General features: G+C 46.8%; 1 protein-coding gene across 1 annotated transcript in view, besides 3 other annotated features; it reads left to right on the top strand.

Annotated features, from left to right (window-relative positions):
- CAPN13 (calpain 13) overlaps window positions 1-484 on the top strand; it is an 84,676-nt gene extending 84,192 nt beyond the window's left edge. Inside the window, exon 23 of the mRNA NM_144575.3 lies at window positions 19-484. The gene's annotated coding sequence lies outside the window, so the exon portion shown is untranslated. The remainder of the gene's footprint in view (window positions 1-18) is intronic.
- Window positions 1,270-1,770: an enhancer, noted in NCBI's record as "H3K27ac hESC enhancer chr2:30944351-30944851 (GRCh37/hg19 assembly coordinates)". NCBI's record gives its function as "activates a minimal SCP1, AML or CMV promoter by ChIP-STARR-seq in primed H9 embryonic stem cells {active_cell/tissue: H9 hESC(primed)}" and the evidence as "EXISTENCE:reporter gene assay evidence [ECO:0000049][PMID:30033119]".
- Window positions 1,771-2,271: an enhancer, noted in NCBI's record as "H3K27ac hESC enhancer chr2:30943850-30944350 (GRCh37/hg19 assembly coordinates)". NCBI's record gives its function as "activates a minimal SCP1, AML or CMV promoter by ChIP-STARR-seq in primed H9 embryonic stem cells {active_cell/tissue: H9 hESC(primed)}" and the evidence as "EXISTENCE:reporter gene assay evidence [ECO:0000049][PMID:30033119]".
- Window positions 8,125-8,184: a silencer, noted in NCBI's record as "silent region_11329". NCBI's record gives its function as "represses an Ori minimal core promoter by ATAC-STARR-seq in GM12878 lymphoblastoid cells {active_cell/tissue: GM12878}" and the evidence as "EXISTENCE:reporter gene assay evidence [ECO:0000049][PMID:35858748]".

Raw genomic sequence — 13,337 nt, 5'->3', positions numbered from 1 at the left:
CCCCGTGTCTTTCTCTAGGACAAGCTCCCAGTGATCACTCAAGAATCTGGCTCTCATTCTAAGAGGCTGTGCTGCCCAGTATGGTGGTTGTGATAAATCTAAACCAGCCCTGCATGAAACAGAGTCCAAGCTGTCTCCCAACAGCCTGGGTTCGGTCCTTGGCTGGCCCAGGCCCAGTTAAGCCTGTGGCCACCAAGCAGCTCATCTGAGCACTTTGGGATGTATTCAGCCTACGTTGCCCTGGAAAAGGAAGCAGGAGATGTCTCCCTGTGGGAAAGGAGAAGAGAAGTTGTCTCTGAGTCCCCTGTCACCAGTTGGATTCATTTCTTGGAAGAGCCAGAATGAGCCACTTTGACCACCCTCGGGTGCTATGGGTGACACAAGAGCTGTCCACTGGGTGTTTGCAGAATAATTACACTATCTTATGTCTGGATCCTGATGATTTCACAGCTAAATGGCAAAAATAAAACATGTTTCCCATAAAGGTCTCTCATTCATATTCTGTCTTAAAAATACATTTGGGGAAGAGGAAAAGTACCCAGCAAGGCAGACGCTTCCCTCACTCTCTCCTCATCCATGGTGCGGTCACTGGGTGTCTCAAAAAGGTGAGGCCCACAGAGGATGGAAGAGATTCCACAGCATAACTGGGCCAGATCCCGCTCAGAAGAATTTGCAGTTGGAAAGCTCATTTCTGGATGCATCAACCCAGTAGGGGAATCGTTGCAAATGGGTGTGTCAAAAGGACAGGAAGGTGGGAAGCTTGCTGAGTGTGACTTTCTGAGTGGCACGGTCGGAGGACAGGATGGTGTGGACAGGGCTGCATCATCACACACACACCCATGCCAGGAGCAAGGGCAGTGCTCGGCAGTGATGGCATGCTGTATACAAGTACCAAACAGGCCCAAGTGACCTCATCCACAGGGACTGTTGTAAAGCCTCCACAGTCATTTCAAGTAGAATAGCTACCTGCCTAAGGAGTTGAACCCCTCTTGCTAATGCTTTTGAATAGCGAGAGGGTCAGACACACAGCAAAGTTTGGGACAGGTCACTTTGCCTCCCAGTCCCCTGCTTGGTTAGCCAGGATAGATGCCCATGTTTGTGAGCATGGACTTTGGAGTTAAAGCTAATATCTAAAGATCCTGAATCCTAGGCTGTCAGACTGCCCTGTTGCATAAGATTTTCTGCATGCAAAAAAACTGGGGCTGGCAGGTCAACAGAGACTCTGATAAGTGGGAAAATCCATAAGAATGAATAAGCCATTTCCTGCAGGATTCAAAGATGACCTTCACCCAGGCATCCAGGTAGAAAGTCCAGCCCACCTGCACAATTTGCTGCCACAACCACATGTCATTCCAAGCTCCTTTTGGGCCTGCTTGCACCCTGGAGGACAAGCAGAAATGGATGATTCTGCAGGCCTAGGGTCAGTGGTGAGCAGCCCCAGGGGTCTGCACAGGCTGGACTGGTGTTCTCAGGATACAGGGCAATTTCTTCCCTCACAGGGCTTTGCTCAGGGACCAGTCATTAATTTTCTCTTTAACAGGATTTAAAGGGGCAGGGTCCTCAATTGCTTGATTGAAAAACTGATTCTCCCTGTCATGCTGGGGCTCTGAAGGCTCAGAAAGGCTCCAGGTGGCCACGGCAGAGGGGCCTGGGCTTCCCTGCTTGGAGCTGGGGGAGATTATATTCCAGTCTCCCCAGGGAAGGGCAGGACCTTGATCCTTAGCCCCAGCACAGGGCAGACCAGCCAGCTCACCCCGAGGCTGCATCTCCTTGGGACTCCCCATGTCCTTCAGCCAAAGTTGAGAAAGGGCTCCAGAGCAGGGCGGGCTTGACAGGCTGACGATCTCAGACAAACCCTGCCCCTGCCAGCTTCTTACACTTGGGTCCTGGGATGGGTTGCTTTGTCTCTGCAAGATGAGGAGGTGAGCAAGGACCATGGCTGGTGCCCAGATGGAGGGGTGGGATCCCTCACAGAGCAAATGACAAAGGCTCAGGCACAAATCCCACCTGCCCCCCAGGCTCCCTAGAGCTTCTGCTACTAAAGCCATCGTATGATGGAAGCAAGGTGTCCAGATGAGATTTCTGAGGCCCCGAGAAGAGGTGGCCATGCCATTAGCAGTGGCAGATACAGTGTGTCTCTGGGACACATTTAAAGTAGAGTGTAGAGGGAAATTTATAGCACTAAATGCCCACAAGAGAAAGCAGGAAAGATCTAAAAGTGACATCCTAACATCACAGTTAAAAGAACTGGAGAAGCAAGAGCAAACACATTCAAAAGCTACCAGAAGGCAAGAAATAACTAAGATCAGAGCAGAACTAAAGGAGATAGAGACACAAAAAAACCTTCAAAAAATCAGTGAATCCAGGAGCTGGTTTTTTGAAAACATCAACAAAATTGATAGACTGCTACCAAGACTAATAAGAAAAGAGAGAAGAATCAAATAGATGCAATAAAAAATGATAAAGGGGATATCACCACCAATCCCACAGAAATACAAACTACCATCAGAGAATACTATAAACACCTCTATGCAAATAAACTAGAAAATCTAGAAGAAATGGATAAATTCCCGGATGCATACACCCTCCAAAGGCTAAACCAGGAAGAAGTCTAATCCCTGAATACACCAATAACAGGCTCTGAAATTGAGGCAATAATTAATAGCCTACCAACCAAAAAAAGTCCAGGACCAGACGGATTCACAGCCGAATTCTACCAGATGTACAAAGAGGAGCTGCTACCATTCCTTCTGAAACTATTCCAATCAATAGAAAAAGAGGGAATTCTCCCTAACTCATTTTATGAGGCCAGCATCATCCTGATACCAAAACCTGGCAGAGACACAACAAAAAAAGAGAATTGTAGACCAATATCCCTGATGAACATTGATGCAAAAATCCTCAATAAAATACTGGCAAACCGAATCCAGCAGCACATCAAAAAGCTTATCCACCACGATCAAGTGGGCTTCATCCCTGGGAGGCAAGGCTGATTCAACATACACAAATCAATAAAAGTAATCCATCATATGAACAGAACCAAAGACAAAAACCACAGGATTATCTCAATAGATGCAGAAAAGGCCTTTGACAAAATTCAACAGCACTTCATGCTAAAAACTCTCAATAAACTAGGTATTGATGGGACGTATCTCAAAATAATAAGAGCTATTTATGACAAACCCACAGCCAATATCATACTAAATGGGCAAAAAGTGGAAGTATTCCCTTTGAAAACTGGCACAAGACAGGGATGCCCTCTCTCACCACTCCTATTCAACATAGTGTTGGAAGTTCTGGCCAGGACAATCAGGCAGGAGAAAGAAATAAAGGGTATTCAATTAGGAAAAGAGGAAGTCAAATTGTCCTGATTTGCAGATGACATGATTGTATATTTAGAAAACCCCATCATCTCAGCCCAAAATCTCCTTCAGCTGATAAGCAACTTCAGCAAAGTCTCAGGATACAAAATCAATGTGCAAAAATCACAAGCATTCTTATACACCAATAACAGACAAACAGAGAGCCAAATCATGAGTGAACTCCCATTCACAATTACTTCAAAGAGAATAAAATACCTAGGAATCCAACTTACAAGGGACGTGAAGGACCTCTTCAAGGAAAACTACAAATCACTGCTCAACGAAATAAAAGAGGACACAAACAAGGGAAGAACATTCCATGCTCATGGATAAGAAGAATCAATTGTGAAAATGGCCATACTGCCCAAGGTAATTTATAGATTCAATGCCCTCCCCATCAAGCTACCAATGACTTTCTTCGCAGAATTGGGAAAAAGTATTTTAAAGTTCATATGGAACCAAAAAGAGCCCACATTGCCAAGACAATCCTCAGCCAAAAGAACAAAGCTGGAGGCATCACGCTACCTGACTTCAAACTATACTACAAGGCTACAGTAACCAAAACAGCATGGTACTGGTACCAAAACAGAGATATAGACCAATGGAACAGAACAGAGCCCTCAGAAATAATACCACACATCTACAACCATCTGATCTTTGACAAACCTAACAAAAACAAGCAATGGGGAAAGGATTCCCTATTTAATAAATGGTGCTGGGAGAACTGGCTAGCCATATGTAGAAAGCTGAAACTGGATCCCTTCCTTACACCTTATACAAAAACTAATTCAAGATGGATTAAAGACTTGCATGTTCGACCTAAAACCACAAAAACCCTGGAAGAAAACCTAGGCAATAACATTCAGGACATAGTTGGCAAGGACTTCATGACTAAAACACCAAAAGCAATGGCAACAAAAGCCAAAATTGACAAATGGGATCTAATTAAACTAAAGAGCTTCTACACAGCAAAAGAAAGTACCATCAGAGTGAACAGGCAACCTACAGAATGGGAGAAAAATTTTACAATCTCATATGACAAAGGGCTAATATCCAGAATCTACAAAGAACTTAAACAAATTTACAAGAAAAAAATCAAACAACCCCATCAAAAAGTGGGCAAAGGATATGAACAGACACTTCTCAAAAGAAGACATTTATGCAGCCAACAGACACATGAAAAAATGCTCACCATCACTGGCCATCAGAGAAACGCAAATCAAAACCACAATGAGATACCATCTCACACCAGTTAGAATGGTGATCATTAAAAAGTCAGGAAACAACAGGTGCTGGAGAGGATGTGGAGAAATAGGAACACTTTTACACTGTTGGTGGGACTGTAAACTAGTTCAACCATTGTGGAAGACAGTGTGGTGATTCCTCAAGGATCTAGAACTAGAAATACCATTTGACCCAGCCATCCCATTACTGGGCATATACCCAAAGGATTATACATCATGCTGCTATAAAGACACATGCACATGTATGTTTATTGCGGCACTATTCACAATAGTAAAGACTTGGAACCAACCCAAATGTCCACCAATGATAGACTGGATTAAGAAAATTTGGTACATATACACCATGGAATACTATGCAGCCATAAAAAAAGGATGAGTTCATGTCCTTTGTAGGGACATGGATGAAGCTGGAAACCATCATTCTCAGCAAACTACCACGAGGACAGAAAACCAAACACCGCATGTTCTCACTCATAGGTGGGAATTGAACAATGAGAACACTTGGACACAGGATGGGGAACATCACACACTGGGGCCTGTCATGGGGTGGGGAGAGCAGGGAGGGATAGCATTAGGAGATATACCTAATGTAAATGATGAGTTAACGGGTGCAGCACACCAACATGGCACATGTATACATATGTAACAAACCTGCACGTTGTGCACATGTACCCTAGAACTTAAAGTATAAAAAAAAAAAAAAAGAAGTGACAGATACAAGATTGAAGCATAAGTCCCCTGATTCGGTTACTGTGGCCTCTCCAGCAACTAGACTTTAGGCTGGTGCCCGGTAGAGCAGAGGAAAGGACTGATCTGCTTCCCTGGAGCTGGGGGTTACCCCAGTGAGGTAGCCATCTGACAGCACGTGTGCACACACACACTCACTCCAGGGCAGCTGGGTTCCAGACAGCAGCTACATGTGCATACAGACTAGCGAAAGAGTTTAAATGGTGAGGAAGGAGCAAAGTGTATCAGCCAGGTCTAGTCAGGAAAAAAAAAAAAAAACAAAAAAAACCACTCAAGGTATTTCAAGAAGGAAGGGATCTAGTCTAAGGAATGAGGCACTTAAAAAGCTGTTGGATTGGTTAAAGGAGCAAAGGCCAGGAAGGTCACCACTGACTCCCAGGCTCACCACTAGCCTTAAGAGAACCAAGAAGCTGCTACTGCTACCCAAGCCAGACACTACAGGGAGCTGCCAGTAATGGTCCTGACCTCCTGCAGCCTAACACCAGTGACTTGCAAGACAAAACCTCACATCTGCTGAAACCCACCTGACTGCACAACTTGCTGGAGGCAGAATCATATGCCTTCTGCCTCTCTTCTGCCTTCCAAATGTCACCCACATGTATCTCAAGGGTGGGACTTAAAATGTACCTGGATCTGTCCTGGCAAGGGTATTTCTCAGGCTTCCAGCCCCTGCCAAATAGGAGAGAATATAGAAAGTGGTGTAAAAGCTGCCAGGTGCCAAGAGACAACAGCCAGCACAGAGAGGACGAAAATGGAAGGAGAGATAGAAAGACAAAAAGATGGAAATGGGGACCTGAGGAAGGGAGGAAACTTTAGACAGACGAGGAACAGATAGATGAGGCATGGCCAGGAGCAATACAGACAAATTAGATGGGAGAGACAGAGGATACGACAGAAATAGGAAGACTAAAACAGAAGGAAGAAGACTGGGGCCACAGGTGCTGGTAGGAGTATTGGCGATACAGCCCAGCCACGTGAAATCCATTCCCAGTGGAAATGTTTAGTTGCCCAACGCCATCAGAATTGTTTACCTCTGTTCATCTCAGACTTCTGAGGCTGTGAGTTTCAACATTTATATATGTAGGAATTGCCTTGAGTGACTTGTTTACAATTTTGTCTGAGATCCTAATCCAGAAGGTCTGGGGCTGGCCCTGGGGATCTGTGATTTTAAAGCTCCCCAGCTGACGGCACATAGTCCTTGGGTGACATTTCAGGAATCACCGCTTTTGCAACTTCGCTGACTGGTGGCAATTCTCTAGACTGCACCAACCAGGGTGACTGTGAGATCCCTAATGAATGCAAGCTTAAGGCCTACTGTGTTCAGAGGCTTCTTACCCGTCCCACCACAACCACACTCTGCTCCCTGGGATGTCACCAAGATCCCTTTCTACCACCTCCCAGTTCCCAGAGAACTGATGTCCTCATTGATTTTTACCTCTAAACAAGCTAATTAAGCAATAATCTTAAAAGAATCCATCACTCTGACAAGGTTGTTGATTAACAATCCTCCAGCCAAGCCAAAGTGCTTAATATCTCAGCAGAATGGTCAATAATGAGTACAGCAGTGGCACCCGGCTGCAGCAAAGCAGGTGATAGCTGTATCTGAGAAGACGGGTGCAGAATGGGTAATGGGCGCGACCTTGCCGCCTGGTGGAGGACAGAGGAGGGGAGGGTGGACGGGCTTGGGGCTGCACAGATGGGCCATCTCTAGCCAGACTCTAAACCATCCTTTCTGAGGCCACCAAATGCCCCCAGAGGACTTCTAAATCTCAGAGAAACTCTGGATCATAGGAGAAGGGTCATGTGAAAGGTGGTTAGACACATGGACAATTTTGGTTTTGTTTTGTTTTTGTTTTCCGAGACAGTTTTGCTCTCATTGCCCAGGCTGGAGTACAGTGGCACGATCTCAGCTCACTGCAACCTCTGTCTCCAGGGTTCAGGTGATTCTCCTGCCTCAGCCTCCCGAGTAGCTGGGATTACAGGCGCCCGCCAGCCACCACGCCCAGTTAATTTTTGTATTTTTAGTGAAGACAGGGGTTTCACCATGTTGGCCAGGATGGTCTGGAACTCCCGACCTCAGGTGATCCACCCGCCTCGGCCTCCCAAAGTGCTGGGATTACAGGCGTGAGCCACCACGCCCGGCCGACATGGAAAATTTTGCAGCTGTGTCAGTGATATACCCACTCAGAGAAGAGACAGGCAAGACGATAAAATGACTGCCTTTGAGAGGACAATGTTAAGTCCAGGGTAATGTTATCTTTCTCTTTTCTATACTTAAACACTCTTATTTTAAACACCTCTCTGTTCCCTTAAAAAACATTTTCTTTTTTCTGCCTTGGAGGATAGGCTCTTTGACCAAGTGGAATGTGGTAAAACACTGTCCCCGATGGTCAGAATTGTTGCAGCTTCAAATCCTCCAAGGTCCAAAGATTCCTGCCCATTCAATCAGTATCCAGTGTGGGCCACAGAAGGTGGAGCATCCAGGCAGCCCAGCAGGAGCATGCACCATCCAAGCTGCCACAGCTCCATCATCTTCACCTGACTTCATCTTGGTCTGAATCCTAGTCTCACTTTTGCTGTTGTTTGCATAAAGATTGGATGAGCTTGACAAGTACTCTGGACCAAAAGGAAGGAAACTGGCCCCACTTGTGATCTCTGGTCACTGACATGCCACGTCATCTTGCCTCTTTAAGAGTTTCCATTTCCATTCAACCACAAAGTCAGGCCCTCCCTATGGCTAAATTGGCAACATTAACCCACAGTGTGAGTAGGGCAGGGCCTAGGTTATATTCTCAGTCTTGCAACTGCCTCTGTCTGACATTAGTCAGATTCTCCAGTTGGGGGTTTTGCCTGGCCCCTAAATTCTTTCCTTCTAACTCCCTTGTTCTCTGAGACTCTGCCATGGCTTACGCCTAAAGGGCTTTCCTAGAGCCCAGTTCTCCCATTTCGCAGCCTGACAAATAAAATCAATTTCGCCTCTGTTAGAGCCATTGCAACTTCACTACCCATGTATTGAGCCTGGAGTAAGTGCTCAATAGATGTTAAGGGAGTGAATGAATGAGCACATGTGGTGTAAAGATACGCACCACGGGGGAGTGGACAGAGCACTGGGTGAGAACAGAGCACTGGGTGAGAACTCTGGAGTCTAAGGTTCAAGTCCCGGTTCTGCCTCCATCAAGCTGTGTGCCTTAGGGAAATGGCCTTCTCTTCTGGGCTTCCTTCTCCAAAAATGAAGGGGCTGGACTTGCAGATTTCTAAGGTTCCTTCCATGTCACAGACTTGGAGATCCACGTCCTAACAGATTCTACTCCGCAATCATCAGCGAGGGGCAGCAATTAACAGCCAGAAAAAAGCCCCTCCAATTCAGCAACAGCAGCTCTGCTGAGACCCATGCTCTCTGGGGCAGTAAGTCAAAACAGTCCTCCCCTTCTTTAGCCTGGGAGTTGCTGCTTCTTTTATGATGCTTGTGACAATGAAAATTAAAAACCCCTTTCACCTACCTGAGGTTGGCGGTTAAGCCAGCGTTCACATGTTTTGGGGAGGTTAAAAAAAAAAAAAAAAAAAAAAAAAAAAAAAAAAAAAAAAAAATCTGGCCACTGTGCAGCCGCAGATAATGGTGCGACAGTGACACCTAGTGGTCATCTCCACTAATTACTGCTCAGCCCTGCTGCTCAGCACTGCAAGCCAGGAGTTTGCCGGAAGTCAGGCCCTCCCTATGGCTAAATTGGCAACATTAACCCATAGTGTGAGTAGGGCAGGGCCTCGGTTGTAATCTTAGTCTTGCAACTGCCTCTCTGTCTGACCTTAGTCAGCTTCTCCAATTGTGGGTTTGGCCTGACCCCTAAAGTCCTTCCTTCTAATTCCCTTGTTCTCTGAGACCCTGCCATGGCTTATGACTTATAGTTGGGAGTCCTAGGCCCAGGTGGAGAGCAGGATATCCATACCAGGTAGGAGCAGCTCTAGGACCCCAGGGTCCAGCACTGGGACCCTGGGGTTCCACCCAGGATGATTATGCACATCCCTGTCCACACATTCAGTTCCACGCAGCCGCGAGGCAGGACCACACAGCCAGGCCATCAACCATGGATGTTACAGCCAAGGGCTGCCTCCATTTCAGCTGCCAAGGTAGGAGAAAGTAACAAAACCAGCCAGAGAGAAGCCTGGGGGAGCTGACTTTCTATTGGTGGCAGGGGGCAGTTCACCTGGTTTTGCCCACTTTGTGCAACAGAATCTTGCCCTCTTGCTGGGGTCTGTAGGGTTCAGATATCTCTAAAGAACAATGCAGATGGGTTCTTCTTAGCACATTTTACTGCCTATATGTACACCCCACAAACTACAAAGGGTGGAAAGGGAAGCTATGGGTTGAGGCTTTAGAACCTCCCCCACAGGTCACAAGTGCTCACGGTTTAACATGGCTGGGGACATAGTGGCTGAGCTTGTTGAGTCTTTCCTGAGTTCCACATTATTCTTTTTTTTTTAGATGGAGTCTCGCTCTGTCACCCAGGCTGGAGTGCAGTGGCGCGATCTCGGCTCACTGCAAGCTCCGCCACCTGGGTTCACGCCATTCTCCTGCCTCAGCCTCCCGAGTAGCTGGGACTACAGGTGCTGGGCTTTCTGCCACTTGAATCCTGTTTCTTATCACCCGTGTTTGGTCTGTGTTTATGAGTCTTTCTCCAAATGTCATCTGTCCGTACTGCATGGTTTCTACAGAAGACCTTGGTGCCTTCCAATATGCCCACCACTAAAATGCTGGGTGAGGCTTTGCTGATTTCCTCACCCTTACTCCTCATGGTTTTCCCCAGACCATGACCAGGAAGTATGCAATGGTCACACTCTGCGAGCCCTCAAAGGAGGAAGTCATTTGTTCAAGTTGGGGTTGCAAACTCCAGAGCTGCCATAGTTTCTGGCGGTGTGTGGTAATTTTCCCTTGTCATTAAATGACATATGTAAAAATGCTTTTCTGGGCCAGGTGCGGTGGTTCACACCTGTAATCCCAGCACTTTTGGAGGCTGAGGCTGGCAGATTGCTTGAAGTCAGGAGTTCGAGACCAGCCTGACCAACATGGTGAAACCCCGTCTCTACTAAAATATGAAAATTATCTAGGTGTGGCAACATAGCTTGTAATCCCAGCTACTTGGGAAGCTGAGGCAAGAGAATTGCTTGAAACCAGGAGGCAGAGGTTGCAGTGAGCCGAGATCGCACCACCGCACTCCAGCCTGGGCAACAGAGCAAGACTCAAAAAAAAAAAAAAAAAAAAGCTTTTCTGGAGGTGGAGAGAAGGTGAACTATTATTTTAAAACACCTACTATATAACAGACAGAGTCCAGTCAGGAGACAAAAATCACACCAGCAATTTGAATAAGGAAAATGTAATATAAAAAATTATAGGCCGGGCATGGTAGCTCATGCCATAATCCCAGCATTTTGGGAGGCTGAAGCAGGTGGATCACCTGAGGTCAGGAGTTCGAGACCAGCCTGCCCAATATGGTGAAACCCCGTTTCTACTAAAAATACAAAGATTAGCCGGGTGTGGTAGCGGGTCGCTGTAATCCCAGCTACTTGGGAGGCTGAGGCAGGAGAATCACTTGAACCCAGGAGGCGGAGGTTGCAGTGAGCCAAGATCACACTACCACACTCCAGCCTAGGCAACAAGAGCAAAACTCCATCTCAGAAAAAAAATATATATATTATGAAGTAGTAAAAGGTGTTAACTTCTAAAAGGGGCAAAAGAGGACTCTAAGGAATACAGGAATAATAAGTGCAGGAAGCACTTACTATTATAGAGGTAGCCCTGCTACCTCTAGGGCTGGGAAGATTACCCAGAGGAGGAGGTTAGAGCATGGATGAGAGTCCCACCTTGAGGGAGAGAGTGTGGCTGCAGACCACTGGGCAGTGGAGAAGGTCCGGGGTGCCAGTGGACTGGAGCTGGAGTACAAGAGCCTCCTCTGCTGGATGCTGGGGAAAATCACTGGAGAAAGCGCCACTGGATTTCCCCCTGCTGGGACAATCACACTGTGGGAGAAAAAAGGCACACTAGAGCCAAGAGGAGGAGCTCGTCCTCTGCTTTACCTTGCAGTGTCCAGGAGGAGCCAGAAGGAGGAGCTGGTCCTCTGCTATACCTTGCAGTTTCCCTCTAGCACCCTCTACTGACACAGTGTAACATTGCAACAGCTGACGAAAGAGAATTAGTAACAGGGTCCAGCTCCAGTATTACAAAGTAGGGCAAAGAAGAGTGGATTTGCAGTTGACAGGCAATAAATTGACAACAGGCACACCTACTCTGTGCCAAGCCCCATGTTATGCATTTCCAGCACGAATCTCATAATCTCATTGATAATTATTTGAAATAGATATTATAATTCCCATTTTAATGTTGAGAAAACACTAAAAGCTAGGAGAAGTAATCTGAGAAAAATATGCAGCTAGTATACTTTAAAATATGCAACAGGGCTGAGCTGATGTTTCACTGATGGGTGTGTGACTCTAGAGTATGTTTTTCTGGCTGGGCAACGTGACTCCTGCCTGAAATCCCAGCACTTGGGGAGGCCAAGGCAGGCAGATCACCTGAGGTCAGGACTTCAAGACCAGCCTGGCCAACATGATGAAACCCTGTCTCTACTAAAAATACAAAAGTTAGCTGGGCCTGGTGGCGGGCACCTGTAATCCCAGCTACTCGGGAGGCTGAGGCATGAGAATCACTTGAATCCAGGAGGCGGAGGCTGCAGTGAACAGAGATCACACCACTGCACTCCAGCCTGGGCAACAGAGTGAGACTCTGTCTCAGAAAAAAAAAAAAAAGTAAAGAGTATGTGTTTCTACATCAAGCTAGCAGTACCTGTCACTGTAAAGGGTTAAGGACAGTACAATTTTGTTCTCCCTCTCCCAGCCTCTTCTTCTCTATTAAATCACATAAGCCTTCCCAGCATTGGTTCCTGGACTTTGCCTTGGAGAGGCGGTGAGGCAGGTGCCCCGTAGGTGTCCTAAGGGCATGATTCTCAAGCCAGAATCACTGGGAAAGTTGGTGAAAATGCTTTCCTGGGCCTACCTCTGCAGAGTCCAATTTAGTAAATTTAGGGGGACTTAGAATCTGCATTTAATAAACTCCCCAGAGGACTCTAGTATACTGCAAGAGAAGAGCACCAATCTCCACTGGGCTAGGAGTGGAAAGTGAGGAGCTGCCGAGGCTTTGATGGGTGGAGGAGGGGCGTCATGCTAACAAGCTCTCTTGGCCCCAGCGCCCCATGGGAAGGTCAATATTGTACCTGATTTTCCAAATGAAAATCAAATACGGCACACGGATCTGCTTTATGGGTGATAAAGTTGCAATGGCTCTAACAGAGGTGAAATTGATTCATATTTGTCAGGCCGGGAGATGAGAGAACTAGGCTCCAGGACCCCTTGGCCTCTTGCCTGGCAGCCCCTGTAGACATATTTTTGGACAGGAGGTATTTCAGAGTGAGAGCATGCCACAGGTAACTTCACTTAGCTCAGAATGGGAGCCACCAGCTTTTGAGCACCTGTCATGTACAGGAATTAGGCTCCATTGTCTCCAGCCCTTAAACTCCCTTACAAGGATTAATACCAGAATGCTCAGATGAGGAAATGGAGGGTCTTGCCCCAGGCCATGAAGACACAAGGAGCAGAGTGCGGGTTGGTTGTACTCCAAAGCCATGCTCTTTCCATTGGCCCACACAGCTCTGGGAGAGGAAGACAGCTCCTGGCCCAGGCGTGCCTGCTCAAGGGAGAGCCGGCCAGTCCCGAGAGGGGCTAAGCATCTGCTGTCCTGGGCTGGGAAGGGCTGCTTCAGCACTGCCTGCCAGGAGGGCCTAGGAGTCTAGAGATGAGAGTGAGAGAGATTGACAGGAAACCTGGATGGTGCCTTTGTAAGGTACAGTGATCCATCTCAATAATAATTGTGTCACCTCGTCAATATCAAAATATCTCATCAGCTTTCATGAGTCACTGTAGGAATGGCCAGCTGTAA

Source organism: Homo sapiens, chromosome 2 (assembly GCF_000001405.40).
Source record: "Homo sapiens chromosome 2, GRCh38.p14 Primary Assembly".
In the NCBI taxonomy this organism is placed as follows: Eukaryota; Metazoa; Chordata; class Mammalia; order Primates; family Hominidae; genus Homo; species Homo sapiens.
This window is presented reverse-complemented; position numbering and strand designations above follow the sequence as displayed.